At 45.4% G+C, this 15,957-nt stretch overlaps 1 long non-coding RNA gene across 1 annotated transcript, besides 2 other annotated features; it reads left to right on the top strand.

Annotated features, from left to right (window-relative positions):
* The first annotated feature begins 88 nt into the window (after positions 1 to 88).
* Positions 89 to 5,175, top strand: LOC107985480 (uncharacterized). The gene is made up of 3 exons (XR_001755102.2): positions 89 to 128; positions 2,394 to 2,586; positions 3,689 to 5,175. It is a non-coding gene; the product is annotated as an uncharacterized LOC107985480 (long non-coding RNA).
* Positions 3,174 to 4,373: an enhancer, noted in NCBI's record as "BRD4-independent group 4 enhancer chr21:40159061-40160260 (GRCh37/hg19 assembly coordinates)". NCBI's record gives its function as "activates an origin of replication core promoter dependent on BRD2, P300/CBP, MED14 and CDK7 cofactors, and independent of BRD4, by STARR-seq in HCT116 cells {active_cell/tissue: HCT116}" and the evidence as "EXISTENCE:reporter gene assay evidence [ECO:0000049][PMID:35650434]".
* Positions 4,088 to 4,177: an enhancer, noted in NCBI's record as "active region_18459". NCBI's record gives its function as "activates an Ori minimal core promoter by ATAC-STARR-seq in GM12878 lymphoblastoid cells {active_cell/tissue: GM12878}" and the evidence as "EXISTENCE:reporter gene assay evidence [ECO:0000049][PMID:35858748]".
* Positions 5,176 to 15,957: the final 10,782 nt, after the last annotated feature.

Here is a 15,957-nt window from a genome sequence, read left to right on the forward strand (position 1 = left end):
TTCGAGATGGACTCTCACTCTGTCGTCCAGGTTGGAGTACAGCGGCGCGATCTCGGCTCACTACAATCTCTGCCTCCTGGGTTCAAATGATTCTCCTGCCTCAGCCTCCTGAGGAGCTAGGATTACAGGTGTGCACCACCACGCCTGGCTAATTTTTGTATTTTTAGTAGAGACAAAGTTTCCCCATGTTGGTCAGGCTGGTCTCGAACTCCTGACCTCATGATCAGTCCACCTCGGCCTCCCAAAGTGTTGGGATTAAAAGCATAAGCCACCACGCCTGGCCCATAATTATCTTTGTTAAACTTCAATCACATGGGTTTCTAATTTAATAGCATGGCGACTACAGAATGTGGTCTGTCATGTATCAAGCATTTGAAATTGGTTGAGGCTTCCGTTTTAGCCTTTATGTATGTGTAAGATATTGGAAAATATTCTTGGTAAAATTGACCAGAAGATGTATTCTACAGTCACTGTTTAAGAAACAAGTGAAAATGGTGGTTAAAATAACCAAAACAACTAAACGTGTGTGGAAATAAACAAAGACTACCCAAAGGAGAGCAGGCAGAGGCGATCCATTCAGAGCTTGCTGTAGCATAGGAGTCAGACACTGTCACTTGTGTTTGGCAGAAACTCAAATCAGGCTGTTGATCAAGTTTTTATCATGAGGGCAGGTTTCAAGGCTGCCATTCATTTTTCACTGATGGTTTACTTTGGGCTTACCAGGAAAATCAGTCACTGTTAACCAATCATTGGTTTCTATGTAAATCAAAATATTAACAATTGCCCAAGTGCAGTAGCTCACACCTTCAACCCCAGCACTTTGGGAGCCTGAGGCAAACAAATCGCTTGAGCCCGGGAGTTCAAGAGCAGCCTGGGCAACATGGCAAACCCCACCTCTAAAAAAATACAAAAATTAGCCTGGCATAGTGGCATGCACCTGTAGTCCCAGCTTCTCGGGAGGTTGAGGTAAGAGGATGGCTTGAGCCTGGGAGGTCAAGGCTGTAGTGAGCCATGTTCATACGACTGAACTCCAGCCTGGGTGGCAAAGGGAGACCCTGTCTTAAAACAAACAACAACAAAAAACAGTCTCTATTTACATAACATAAAGAAGCCCTTTGGAGAAGGTAGAAACAGACTTTGCTGCCCTCTCTGAGCAAACATTGTCTCATTAATCCTCCCCACAACCCAACAAGGAGGTTTGACCTACTGAGTTCCATTTTAGGAGATAAGAAGCCGTTGTATGCCTCAGTTGGCTACCCAGTCTAGGGGCAGTAAGCCCCCACTTGCTATAATAGGTTGTGATTGTCTGATGTATTAAACTGAACTTTAAAAAGTCATTTCTATTTCGCTACACAGCAGTGGGGCAGCGCAGAAACAAGGAAATTATATCTTCTGCTTCGACTGTTTTTCATTTTTACTTTGTGTTTCTAGATTCTCAAACTTCCATCACTCTAACAGATTCTCAAATTAGAGGAGAAAACAATCTTACTTTACATAAAAACACCAAATTGATCCTTTATGGATGCAGTGTGGTCAATGACAGCATTTGTTTTCCCAGCATAGATTGTGCTGATGCATTGTGTATGTGGCCTGGTCTGTAGCCTGTGTGATTGACAGATGATTGAGAGACAGAGAGAGAGAGAGATTGTCAGGAGGCTTAATGATCCTCACAACACAACTGGGGTAGGTGCTGTGGCCCCCACATTACAGCCGAGGCCCAGAGAGAGTCAGTAGCTCACCCAAGGTCACACAGCTTGTGAACAGCAGAGCCATAATTTGATCAATGCTGCTAGGCTGCCTGTCAAAATACACCCAAAACAAAACTTACTTTTTGTATAGCATGAGCTTTTAATTCTATGGGTTGCTGTTGCATTGAATTATGCCCTAGTGTAACACAAACTAAAATATCCAGTTGCAAAATTAAATAATAAATAAATAATGGGTCTGCGTGCTGTTTATCAGTCCAAATGTGGCTGCATTTTTTGGCCAACTATGTCTTTTAAGATTACATCCTAACATTAAGTTTTTGTTGGTTTCTAATCCCAGCTTTGGCAGTTTTGGACAAAAGCTATGGGCATAATATCCTCTTGGCCCTCCAGGCAGGGGCGCTGCAGATTCTGGGCTGGGGGTCAGTGGGGGCAGCTTACAAAATGTTTTTCTGTGAGGGCCTCGGCTGAAATAGAGGGGAACACTGCTGAGCTCTGGCCTCTGTGTCTGTATCTTGACTGACTTTTTAAATTTTTTTTTCTGAAATTTCTGTGTGGCCTGACAAGTCCGAGACTACCACAAAGTGGCCACAAAATTTGTTTAAATGTTGTCTGTCAAGTTGGAAATTTTATTTTAAAATTCATGGTGCAATGGCATTATAATAAACCTTATTTTTCCTTCTGCAGTCTGTTTCTGGATGCTGGCAGTCATTCAGAAACATTTGCTGAGCACCTCGTACCTGCTGAATGAACCCACGTGAAGGGGAGCCAGGAGTGCGGATCATTAAAAAGCCTGTACTTTCTCAGTCCCCATTTGACACCACAGAGAGAAAATGCATGCTCCTGATTTGGGTAGATCTAGAATGTTCTTATGAATATGGTAGGTGGAGCAAGGGATCCAGGTTCTTATGATACATGATAAGAAAGGCCCTAGCTTGGTCAGACACAAATAAAAGCCAAGCTTTTCATCTAAACTCCCTTGCACCATCACCCCCTTACCAACCAGTACAGAGAGCTTAACATCTCTATACCAGATAGTGAATGTTTCTAATAAGAATGGCAAATTCTTATTGTGAGAGAGATAAGGGCATTCAAGTGTTAATTCAAGAGAAATATGTATATGGTTCTTTAAATGATTTATTTACTAACAGCATTAAGTATGGTGTAAAGGAATTTACATACCCTAATTCTCGTCTATATATTTTTTTGGATTTTAAAATGACAACTTGTCTAAGTTCGCATTAGTATTAAGCCCTAACATGAGACAGTATTTATAGCATAAGATTTTTGCCACCTATTTTTAATTGTAGCGCTGTTTTATCAATAAGATCAATTAAAGAGTTGAACATTTGAAAAGAAGAAACATGAAAATGAATTTCTAACTGTACGGTATTGAATACATGAAAGTTCTCTTAAACTTAGTCCAGAGTCTCAATAAACATGGTAAGTATGTAATAATTCACATTTACAACCGCCATAAAAACTCTATCAACCAAATTATTTTATGACGTCAAAATTATCTGAAAAAAATTGAGGAACTAAAATTTTTAAAAATAGGTTCTCAGTTAGAGCTGTCTATTAAAAGGATAAATTTTAAACTCTCCGGAGCTGGCCTTCCTGGTTCCAGGAGCAGCCTGTTGGCCTTCTCTCGCAAAGCTCAGTTCCTTTCCTCCATTCCAGAAGACCCTCAAGCCTGTCCCATGCACCTGGTTTTACATTTTTAAATGTTAAAAGGAAGACCACCGTGAAAGATTGGCATGTTAATAGTAGGCTAAGGCGACAGGTGCTGGGGCTCCGGCTTAGAGATCCCCACAGATTCCATGCTCCCAGGGCTGGCTGCAGCCATCTGCCCCCACCCACCCCCACCCGGCCCAGCCCTCCCCTCCTGGAGGTGGAATCGTGGCTTGCACAATCCCCTCTGGGCCCCTGGGGGAGGCGCACCATATTGATTTTTTGGACTTCGTTTCTGTGTGTCTCACCAGTCTTTGCCCGGCACAGTGACTCACTGGCGTCCCTTTCAGGACTTTCTCCCGCCTGATAACATCTAAATGACTCATGCCTACACCACCTGGAGAGCTCAGGGAAGGCACGGTTTGTTCAGGCCACCCTCACTCCAAGGGCCAGCCCTTTTTTGGAATAGAAACTAAAAGTTGGTAGCTTCCATTTGTAGTTCCATCTAACAGAAGAGCCGACCCACTCACATTAGCTGGCTCACGACTAAGGCAACCAATGCCTCCCAGAACATAGACTCAACTGGCAACCCCGGCACTGAAGGTCAAGGTGAGTCAAAGACACTCATGCAGAAGGGTGGATGCTCTTCCAAGTGTGACTGGCTGGCCTGCACGGCTCACTGCCTCCCCTCCTCCCGTCAAGATGCAGCTTCAGTTTAAACCACCTTCGTTCCATTCATCAAAGAGGAATATTTACTGTTATTGTAATGACTCTTCTCACAGTACACAAGGCTACACCTGAAACACACAGGCCTTTCAGAAAGCACAAAGGAGCATTGTGCAAGCCCCTGCCCAGTGAGATGGATGGGGGCGTAGACACGCCAGTTAACAGCCGGGCTTTGCAGGCCAGCAAGACTTATCTGTGGCCGCACCATGGCCACTGAGCTTGTACCTTTCTTCTTTTAAAAATTGCTCCTTCATTATAAGCAGAGTTAAATACCTGCACATGTGATTTGTGTTGAAATAATAAAGCAACAAACACACATCAAGCTGAGGAGAGAATCTTGGCTAAGGTAGGAAGTCGTGGGTCTGGTCTCAGTCTGTGCTGCTGACCAACTGTAAGAACTCAGAACTCACTGTCCACTCAGGACCACAGTGTCTCATCTGAAAGGACGAGGAGACTGGAACACACCAGAGCCATGGTTCTCAATGTGTGGTCCAGAGGCCCTCGGGGGTCCCTGAGCCTCTTTCTGGGGATCTGTGAGGTCAAAACTACTTTCACAAGTATGGTTTGCCTTTTTCACTCTCACTCTCTCATGCTTGAACAATGGAATCTTCTAAAGGCTTCCTGACACGTGATGCTACAATGGATGGAATCCAGAGGTGGATAGGAGAAGCCAGCTGCCTTCTATTAAACCAGAAATGAAGAACATTTGCAGAAATGTACAACAATGCCATGCTTCCCATTAATTATTTTGTTCTTGCTTTAGAATATGTCACTTTTCATTGAAAAATGTTACTCATGATTTTATGTAAAAGGTTTATTGTTGTTACTTTTAAATACATATTTTAAGTGTTTTTTAGTTTTGATTTCTAATATGGCAAAAATTGGTAAAATCACATACACAAGGGCTTTTGGGGATCCTCAAAACTTTTTAAGAGTGTAAAGGGATCCAGAGACCAAAAGTTTGATAACCACTAACCAAAAACTTTGACAACCATCATCTTGAAGGGTCCTTGGACTTTCTGGAATTTGGATCTCCCTTGCCTTGTTCAGTTTTCTCTCTTTTTAGCCATCTCGTACTTACTGCCATTTCAGTTCCTATGTACCTGACTTATTAATTATGCTTATTGTTTACCATGTGTGTTCCCCTCCCATATAAACTCCATGAGGACTGAGATATTTGTCCATGATGTTCATCAGTGCATCCCAGGCTGCCTAGAACTGGGCCTGGCCCTTAGCAGGCACTTGTTTTTGGATGGGAGGGAGGAGAAGGGAGGGGAGAGGGCAAGTTCTTTCAGTGTCTGTATAATGGACAGAGCAAGGTGTACCACCTCGGTGTGATAGAAGAGATGGAGACAGGAGAAAGGAAGCTCTGCACAGGATCACGTGGTAGGTGGCAAAGTCAGGGCTCCATCACAGCTTCTGTTGTCACATGACTCTGTTATCTGACCCTTTAAGGCAGCCCCTTCTGCTCCAACAGAGCTTCAGGGTAACTGAGTGCCCCGCAATTGGTGTTAGCAGAGAATCTGTGTCCAGTTGATCCCTAAAAGTTTGAGGAACACTCATTCCCCAGTGCATAAGTTCCTGATAAATGACCTCATAAATAAATGACCTCCCTTTGTAGGAGGTTGGCTGGAAGGCTCAGATGCACATGGCTGCTGGAAGTGAGGTCCTCCCACAAGAGAACCAACACGTCCTTCAAGGGTCTCGGGGTCTGTGAACAGACATGGACATCAGGATTGGTTGAGGGGCTTCCAGGTTCAATCCTGGTGGCACAGGTGAGGCCCATTCACCAGACCAGAGTGTCGCCAGCCATCCATAGCAGGTGTGCTCTTTGTGGCTGCCTATGGCTTTTAGTCCTGAAAAGCTCAGGTTTAAGTAGCCAGGAGCACAACCCAGGCCTTGCTGCTGCTTCTGGACATCTCTGGGAGTGAAAAGGGAGTTCTATGCTCAGCCACCTGAGTTTGTGGAGCTCGTTTCAATCTCAGTCTCTCCCATCAGCCTCCTGGTGACTCCTCTAAGAGGTCTCAGTGCTTCCTTCACCCTCAATACTCAAGGCCTTGGCGAAAGGGAATTCTTCTGAGACCTGAAGTGTAGAATCACGAGGGAGAAACAGTCAAGCAAAATTGACCGTTATCGCCCAGGAGATAAGACCCAGGAGTCAGTTCAGAGAACGCAGACATGACCGTAGAATTGTGTACATAGCAGGCCTTGCCCTCAGTGGATATCCAATAAATTGCAATGGACATATGTTTTCTTTTCTGCACACTCTCTTGCCTTTCCCTTGGCTGGATCTTGGGGCTTCTGGGAGAGTGATGCGGAGGGGAATATTGGAAGAAGAGGCTGAGAGCACAGATGAAAGTCATCCCATCTGTTTGGATTTCATTTTAAGAGCAGTGCAGAGGCATTGAGTGTTTTTAGGCAGAGAATAACATTAAGGAACGTACAGGTGTACTTCGGAGATATTGCAGGCTCAGTTCCACACTGCAGCAATAAAGCAATTATCGCAATAAAGTCATATAAATATTTCAGGTTTCTCGGTTCATATAAAAGTTATATTCACACTATATTGTAGTCTATCTAGTGTGCAATAGCATTATGTCTAAAAAACAATGTACATACCTTAATTTAAAAATACTTTATTGCTAGAAAGTGCTAATAATCATCTAAGTCTTTGTCAAGTCATAATCTTCTTGTTGGTGGGTGGTCTTTCTGGATGTGGATGGCTGCTGACCAATCAGGGTGGCTGTGGCAATTTCTTGAACTGAGACAACAGTGAAGTTTGCTGCATTCATTGGCTTTTCCCTTCATGAAAGATTTCTCTAGCATGCAATACTGTTTGATGGCATTTTACCTACAGAACGTCTTTCAAAATTGGAGTCAATCTTCTCAAACTCTGCCACTGCTTTATCAACTATTTATGCAATATTCTAAATCCTTTGTTGTCGTTTCAACAAAGTTCAGAGCATCTTCAGCAGGAGTAGATTCCATCTCAAGAAACCACTCTCTTTGCTTATTCATAATAAACAACTCCTTGTGTGTGAAAGTTTTATCATGAGATTGCAGCAATTCAGTCACGTCTTCCGGCTCCACTTCTAATTCTAGTTTTGTTGCTTTTTTTTTTTTACCACATCTGCAGTTATTTCCTCCACTGAAGTCTTGAGCCTCTCAAAGTCATCCCTGAGGGTTAGAATCCACTTCTTCCAAACTCCTGTTATTGTTGATATTTTCACTTCCTACCATGAATCATGAATGTTCTTAACGACATCTAGAATGAGAATCTTTTCCAGAAAGTTTTCAATTTACTTTGCCCAGTTCCATCAGAGGAACTACTCTCTATGGCAGCTATAGCCTTATAAAATGTATTTCCTAAATAAGACTTGAAAGTCAAAATTATCCCCTCTATCTGTGGACTGCAGAATGGATGTTATATTAGCATACATGAAAACAGCATTTATCTCCTTGTAAATCTCCATCAGAGCTCTTGGGTAACTAAGTGCATTGTTAATATTGAACGATAATATTTTGAAAGGAATAGTTTTTTCTAAGCAGTAGTTTTCAACAGGGGGTTTAAGATATTTAGTAAACCATACTATAAACAGATGTGCTGTCAGCGAGGCCTTGTTCCATTTCTAGAGAACAGGCAGAATGGATTTAGCATAATTCTTAAGGGCCCTTAAGATTTTCAAAATGGTCAGTGAGCATTGGCTTCAACTTAGTTACCAGCAGCACCAGCCCCACCAAGAGAGTAAGCCTGTCCTTTAAATTTTTGAAGTCAGACATTGACTTCTCCTCTCTAGCTATGAAAATCTTAGGTAGTATCTTCTAATACAAGGTTGTTTCATCTACACTGAAAATCTGTGATTTAGTGTAGTCACCTTCATCAATGATCTTAGCTAGATCTTCAGGATAACTTGCCGCAGCTTCTCCATCAGCATTTGCTGCTTCACCCTGCACTTTTACATTCTCGAGATGACTTCTTTTTTTAAATGTCATGAACCAATCTCTGCTTATGCAGCTTCCTCATACCTCTCAGGCATCACAGAATTGAAGAGAGTTAGGGCCTTGCTCTGGATTAGGCTCTGGCTTAAGGGAATGTTGTGGCTGGTTTGGTGTTCTATCCAGACCACTCAAACTCTCCGCGTCAGCATAAGGCTGTTTCACTTTCTTACCATTCATGTGTTTGCTGGAGTAGCATTTTTAATTTACTTGAAGAACTTTCTCTTTGCATCCACAACTTGGCTATTTGGCACAAGAGGCCTGGCTTTTGGCCTATCTTGGTTTTGACATGTCTTCCTCACTCAGCTTAATCATTTCTAGTTTTTTATTTAAAGTGGGATACGTGTGACCCTTTCTTTCACTTGAACACTTGGAGGCCACTGCAGGCTTATTAACTGGCCTAATTTCAATATTGTTGTGCCTCAAGGAATAAGGAGGTCCAAGGAGAGGGAGAGAGACAGGGAAATGCCCAGCCAGTGGAGCAGTCAGAATACATACACATTTATTGATTCCGTTCACTGTTTTCTGTGGGTACAGTTTGTGGTTCCCCAAAACGATTATAATAATAATATCAAGGACCACTGACCACAGACCACCACAACAGATAGAATAATAATAAATTTGTGCAAATAAATAATAAAAAAACATTGTGAAAATTACCAAAATGGGACACAGAGATAGGAAGTGAGCCCATGCCTTTGGAGACATGGCACCAGTGGACCTGCTGTATACCACAACCTTCAGTTTATAAAGAACATGGTATCTGTAAAGTACGATAAGGTAAAGCACAGTAAAACGAGGTGTGCCAGTGTTGGGGAGCACATCTGGCTGCCTGGCATAGTATTGACTGAAAGAAAGATAACAGAGGGAGGGTATCTGAAAAGTAACTGCCAGATGCTATGGTGCCTGCTCCTTTGCAGTCAGGGAGAAGAGAAAGAAGAGACTGATTATCAAAGAAATCCCAAAGCTAGAATCCGCAGACCCCCATTCCAGATTCATTAAAAGTGGACAAGAGATAGGGGAGCCTGAGGATTGTCCCTGGTTGACTGGAAGGTCACCCAGGAGGAAGGGGTGTACCTCAGAGATGGACAGGGATGGGCCTTCTGCTCGTCCTACAGGCACCCATTCTCAGCACAGGCTCATCCAGCCAAAGACTAAATTTCCCAGCCTCCTTTGCAACTAGATGATATCACGTGACAAAATCCAGACCAATGGGCCTGCCATGTGCAATTCTGATTAGTGCCCTTAGGAAGATGAGCCTCTGCTTCTCTTTCCTCCTTTCCTAGGGAGGAATGCAAATGTGGTAGGGAGACATCTTCAACCAGGAGAATGAGGACACAGCAAGGTGGGAGGATCCTAAGTCCCAAAACTACCACAACATCACCAAGCCAACAAACCAGCCTAGGGTCACCTTCCCCAAGTGTTATGGGAGTGAATAATAAACCTCTATTTCTTTTTTTTTTTTTTCCTTCGAGACAGGGTCTTGCTCTGTAACCCAGGCTGGAGTGCAGTGGCACAATCTTGGCTCACTGCAACATCCACCTCCCAGCTTCAAGTAATTCTCATGCCTCAGCCTCCCAAGTTGCTGGGATTATAGGTGCCCGCCACCACATCTTGCTAAATTTTGTAATTTTAGTAGAGCCAGGGTTTTGCCAGGTTGCCCAGGCTGGTCTCAAACTCCTGACCTCAAGTAATGCATCTGCCCTGGCTTCCCAAAGTGCTGGGATTACACAGGAGTGAGCCACTGCACCTGGCCAAACCTCTATTTCATTTAAGCCCCTGTATGTGTGGCCTCCTGTTACTGATGTTATTTTCATGTGTTATTCTACGCGAGGGGCAGAACAACTTGCTTTTGTTGTATTTCAAGTGACTGTATCGCTGAACCAACCACTCTCGGAGCCACACTTCCTCTGCCTACAGGCTCTGTGTTGACTTGTGGCATGAAGAACACCTGTGAGGTATCCACAGCATACACCAGCCCAGGGACGGAGGCCACATGGGCCTGAGCCTGCAGCTGGCAGTGGCGGACACAGATGCTCCAGCAGGAGTGAGGGGAAACACTCCACCAAATGAAGGCCTCAGGGTCATTCGGACCTCGTGGAAACAAGTTGTATCAGGTTTGCTGGCGAAGCAGCTAGGAGGCTGTGGCAGCTGTTATTTATTCTTCAGTAGGACATTTGGCGCAATGTCTTACATCTTCATGGGTAATTAGACAAAAAGAGCTCACCACCCCTAGGTGATGTCAATGCAGAGGGAGAGTCCTAGTGACATACTACGGGCTTGGCCTCAGTCACTGTTTGTTCAATGACTTGCTTATCAGGGTTATATGTGGGCCAAAGCAGTTACTAATAGAAGAGACCTTGGATAACAAACTCGAGGGTCATAAAGATCTGGAGAGGCTGGAATGATACACTGAACCTACACAGACTCATTCATTCCTCCCCCATCTGTTCATTCAGTGAAAGCATATTCATCAACACCCAGAGGACGCCAGGCACTCAGGAAGGTGCTGGGACACCACAGGTGAAAAGGGTCCGGTTCTCACTGACCCTGCGCTTTCGTATGTGGAGAAAGACAATGAAATACAACAGACCGAGGCAGGTGGATCACCTGAGGTCAGGAGTTCAAGACCAGCCTGGCCAACAACGCAAAACCCCGTCTCTACTAAAAATACAAAAATTAGCTGGGCATGGTGGCACGTGCCTGTAATCCTAGCTACTTGGGAGGCTGAGGCAGGAGAATCGCTTGAACCTGGGAGGCGGAGGTTGCAGTGAGCCGAGATTATACTACTGCCCTCCAGCCTGGGGAGGAGAGAAAGACTGTCTCAAAAAAACAAAAACAAAAACAAAAGACAAAAAAAAAACAGATAAAGCAACAAAATCATTTTTGGAGAGATAATGCTGGGAGCGCATTATTGGCAGGATGTGATAGTGACATGAAAGTAAGGCTCTTTCCGCTTGGGATCGGCAAGAACTGCCCTGAGCCAGTGACATTTGCCCATTTGCCTCAGATGATGAAAAGGAGCCAGGCTTGAGAGCCAGGTGGAAAGAACGCCAGGGAGCAGCGAGTGCAAAGTCCCCAGGGGGCAGCAACGGGAGTTTTCCAGGAACAGACCCAGGCAGGTACACTGGAGTGTGACCAGCAAAGAGGAGAATGAGGAAGGGGGTGGGGACCAGGTCACAGAGGGCATGGTGAGGAGTTTTGGATTCTCTTCTCTGCAGGGTGAGAAACCTTCTGGGAATTTTGAGGAGAGAGGTGGCGTCATAGGATTAACTTCTCCAAAGGCTACATTGGCTGCTGTGTGCAGGGTGGATTCTAGGAGGTAGAACAGAGGAGAGCTGGGAGGCTCTTGCATGGTGGTGATGACCAGGGCACTAGAGAAGAGACTGTGCTTGAGATGTGTTCTGGAAGCAGAGTCCACGGCATTTGCTGATGGTTTATGGGAGTAAAGGAAGAAGAGAAATCCAGGACAACTCCAGGTCTTTTGCTGAGCAACCGGTGGGTGGTGGTACCGGTTCCTGGGACGAGAAGCCCTTTTCTCCATCTCTGCTAATAACTCGCTGGCCTGAGCCAGCCTCGTCACTTGCCTTTAATGCTCCTGTGGTCACATGGCTGGCTGCCCTGCTGCCACCACGCCTCTTCCCCATGGTCTGGGATTGATCATGTGCAGGGCAGCACCTGAGGTCCACATTAACACTCCCACACACCAACAGATGAGCTTGGAAGGAAGCCCCTGTGTGGTTCACACACAGGAAATAGGCGGGTGGTCACTGTGTGGGACTGTCTTGGATGGCAGGTCAATGGCACATCTCTGGTCGAGGAGGGGAATAAGGACACCAGGCAGGGGAGATGCCTGAGTTGAAGGAGTGAGACCAAGGCAGAAGCCCACCCAGAGGATGAGGGCTGAGGGAAAGAGAAGGTTCTCATGCACAGTGAACAGGAAGCAGGGGGCTCTCCGGACCCGGAAGTGACCCTGGGCCGGCCAGGGGACAGACCAGTCTCTACTAGACCATGGGGCTGGCTCTGGGGGTATTTTAGGTCTCCAGGTTGATGTCTGCAAGGCCAGCTTTTTTTTTTTTTTTTTTTTTTTGGAGACAAGGTCTTGCTCTGTTGCCCAGGCTGCAGTGCAGTGGCTCAATGCAACCTCCACCTCCCAGGCTCAAGCAATTCTCCCACCTCAGCTTCCTGAGTAGCTAGGACTACAGGCACGCACCACCATGCCTGGCTAATTCTTGCATTTTTTGTAAAAATGGGGTCTCACCATGTTGTTCGGGCTAAGGCCAGCTTTTTCTTGCTGATGCAGGAAGAGGGACTGGATCAGACTCAAATCTGAGAGGCCCTGGAGGACCCAGCTATGAGAAACTAGCAATGAACTAGAGCAGGAGGGCCAAAGGCAGCCTGCTGGCTTCTTCTCATTTTTCCAGCCTCTGACACCTCACACCATTATGAACATGTAATTGACCTGAATTTGTAAATTCTTATTCTTTTTTTTAATGATTTCTTTCCTGCATGAATGGCAGAGGGTGACTCATCCCCAGGGACGGGGCTCAACCTTTCAACATGAACTCACCACCATGTAACGCGTGCGGCCCCCACTGGCTGAAGCCATTTGATAAATCCCTTTTTCTCATTTTTACAGAGAGAAGGTCTAAGATCCAAGCTACAGCCTAATTCAGCCATTTGCCCTTTACCCGAGTTTTTCAATATACTCCACACTTTCTTACTCCTGCTGAGAGCCCCACTTTCCTTGAATGCATTCCTCTCTTGGCTCCCTCCCTGCCGCCGGCCTCCTCCCTCTCTCTCCCTTCCAGGTCACTTCTCGTGATGAGATTGGACTTGTTTCCTGGGGCTCTGGTAACAAGTTAGCTTAAAACAGAGAAATGGACCCTTTCACAGTTCTGGAGGCCAGAAGTCTGAAATCAAGGTGTTGGAAGGGCCACTCTCCCTCTGAAGCCCCAGTAGAGGATCCTTCGTGGCCTCTTCCAGCTCCGGGGTCCCTGACACCCCCCGGCTTATGCCCGCTTCTCTCCCCTCACTGCCTCCGTCCTCACACGGCCATCTTCTCATCTCCTTGTATCTCTTCTCTGTGTGTCTCTTATAAGGACACTTGTCATTTGACTCAGGACCCAGCAGGATAACCCAGGATAATCTCATCTTGAGATCCATCACTTACTACAACTGCAAAGTCCTTTTTTTAGATGGAATTTCGTGCTTGTCACCCAGGCTGGAGTGCAATGGCACGATCTAGGCTCGCTGCAACCTCTGCATCTGGGTTCAAGTGATTCTCCTGCCTCAGCCTCCTGAGTAGCAGGGATTAAAGGCACCTGTCACCATACCCGTCTAATTTTTGTATGTTTAGTAGAGACGGGGTTTCACCATGTTGGCCAGTCTGGTCTCAAACTCCTGAGCTCAGATGATCTACCCACCTTTGCCTCCCAAAGTGCGTGAGCCACCGCACCCAGCCAGGGCTGCTCTTAAATGATGAAACCAATGGGCTCTACAGCCTCAAATGCTGAGGGTCAAGCTGTGTCCTCTTCTGCCAAGAACAAGGAAGTGGTATGTCTGAGTGATATGTCATTGCTCATTGTCTGCCATAAGGTTGGGACAAAGAGCAGAGGTCTGGGCCTGGCTCTCAGCTTAGCCAGCCAGGCCCCCGGGCCAGGCTGAGTCACTGTGTCCTCACTGCTTAACCCAGGGTAGCAGTGCTCACTCTGCTTATTGCAGGGCAAGGGGCAATGGAGCTGCTATCTGGGAAACAGTTTGAAAACTGTGAAGGGCTCCACAGGTAAAGTGCCATTCTGTTTGTTTTAGTGGGGAATCACTCTAGGAAAAAATTAGGAGGATTTTGGTCCTGAATCCTCTAGAAGTGTGCTCTGCGACTTTGGGCAAATTATTTAAACTGAAGATAGTAATGCTACTCAAAATCAGTAGTGTCACAGACGTGTCCACCTAGGAAAGGTATAAAGTACTATATAAATGTGAGGTTCTATCATTATTATAGTGTTTACCATTTCAGCAAAGTATTGTAAAAGACATTACATAATGCATTTGCATCTTTTTACTGATAAAACTTCTACTGTAAGCATTAGTACTTACTAACCAGCATTTTACATTTTCCTTTGAAAGGGCGAAATTCCTTCCGCAGAATTAAATCGTGTAATTTTTCCAACAGATATTTATTGAGTGCTGTGCATCAGGATTTATTCTAAGCATTGCAGGAAAGTAGTGAACAAAGCAGATATAATTCCTTCCCTAATGGGGTGGAATTTGTGCTGTGGAGACAGAGAATTATTAAGGTAAAAAAGCAAAAGATAAAGAACGTAACGATAAGGGCTTAAGAAAAAAAAACTCATTCGGTGTCAGAAAGGAGTTGTTGAAATTTTAGGTGGGGTGGCCAGGGAAGGCTTCACCAAAGGTGACTATTTAGTAAAGATCTGGCAGCGGTGACAGTAGGAGTCACACGGACTCCTGGGAAGACCCTTCTAGGGAGAGGGAACAGCTCAGGAGGGAGTTGGCCTGGTGCCCAGAGCAGGAACTGAACATGGAGGCAGAGACTCAGTCATGTAACTGCTGGAGGCTGAGTCTCAGGGCCTCCAGGGGCGTGGCGGGCTTGGGCTCAGGCCTTTCTTCTGAGTCACACAAGAGCTGTTGGAGGGTTTTACCTGAGGACGGACAGGCTGACTGCCGTTTAAACAGGATCCCTCTGGCTGCTGTGTTGAGAATGGGTATCACGTTTAGAAGCCTTTTGAAATAAGTATTTGAATGCACAAGTCATACTGAAAGTCATTTTTTAAATGTCAAATGCTTGCCTTTTCCCCTAAACTAGAGCAGGTCATTCTTGCAGTGAAATAGTCCACTCACTTTTCTATAGTAGGATGAAAAGAAAGAAACGAGAAGGCACGACTTGCTGTATCTAGTCAAACATTCTTGCTACCAAGAAACATTCACGCTCCGAGTGGAGAAGGGGCTGCCTGCATCTCGTGCCCTCTGGGTGAGCCCGGCTATGTCTTCCTTCACCACCCTCTGCTGGGAGGGTGGGAGCTGAGGGGACAAGGACACCTGAGAGAGGCCTGTGATGGGCTGCCCAGTGCCACCCAAGCCCCTACTGCACATCTTCCGCCCCAGCCCAGGTTGGTCCAGAAAAAGAACATCAAGTGTTGTTACCCAATTCTGGTGTCAAAGACACCCTAAGAGTCCTCCATTGCTACTGACCAGCAGTTTCACATGTACCTACAAACAGAAATGGGGTAATTGGGTTTAATAAAAAAAAAAAATACATTGGCCATAAAAAGGAATGAAGTTCATCCATGCAGTACATGCTACAGCACAAAAGAACCTTGAGAATATTATGTTCAGTGAAAGAAGGCAGTCACGAATGACCACATATTGTATGATTCCATTCTTATGAAGTGTCCAGAACACTTCATAAATCATAAGGCAAATCCATAGTATCGGAAGGTAGATCCATGGTTGCTTAGGGTTGGGGGTCGGAGGGATAATGGGGTGATAGCTAATCAAAACAGCTTTGTTTTTGAGGTGATGAAAATGTTCTAAAAGGGACTTCGATAATGGTTGTACTTACCTGTGAATATTCTTTTTTTTAAATATTCTTTTTTTTTTTTGAGACATAGTCTAACTCACTCTGTCACCTAGGCTGGAGGGCAGTGGCACGATCTTGGCTCACTGCAACCCCTGCCTCCCGGGCTAAAGCGATTCTCCTGCCTCAGCCTCTTGAGTTGCTGGGATTACAGGCATGCACTACCACACCCAGCTAATTTTTGTATTTTTAGTAGAGATGGGATTTCATCATGTTGGCCAGGCTGGTCTCAAACTCCTGACCTCAAGTGATCTGCCCGCC

This window comes from Homo sapiens, chromosome 21 (assembly GCF_000001405.40).
Source record: "Homo sapiens chromosome 21, GRCh38.p14 Primary Assembly".
Lineage (NCBI taxonomy): Eukaryota > Metazoa > Chordata > Mammalia > Primates > Hominidae > Homo > Homo sapiens.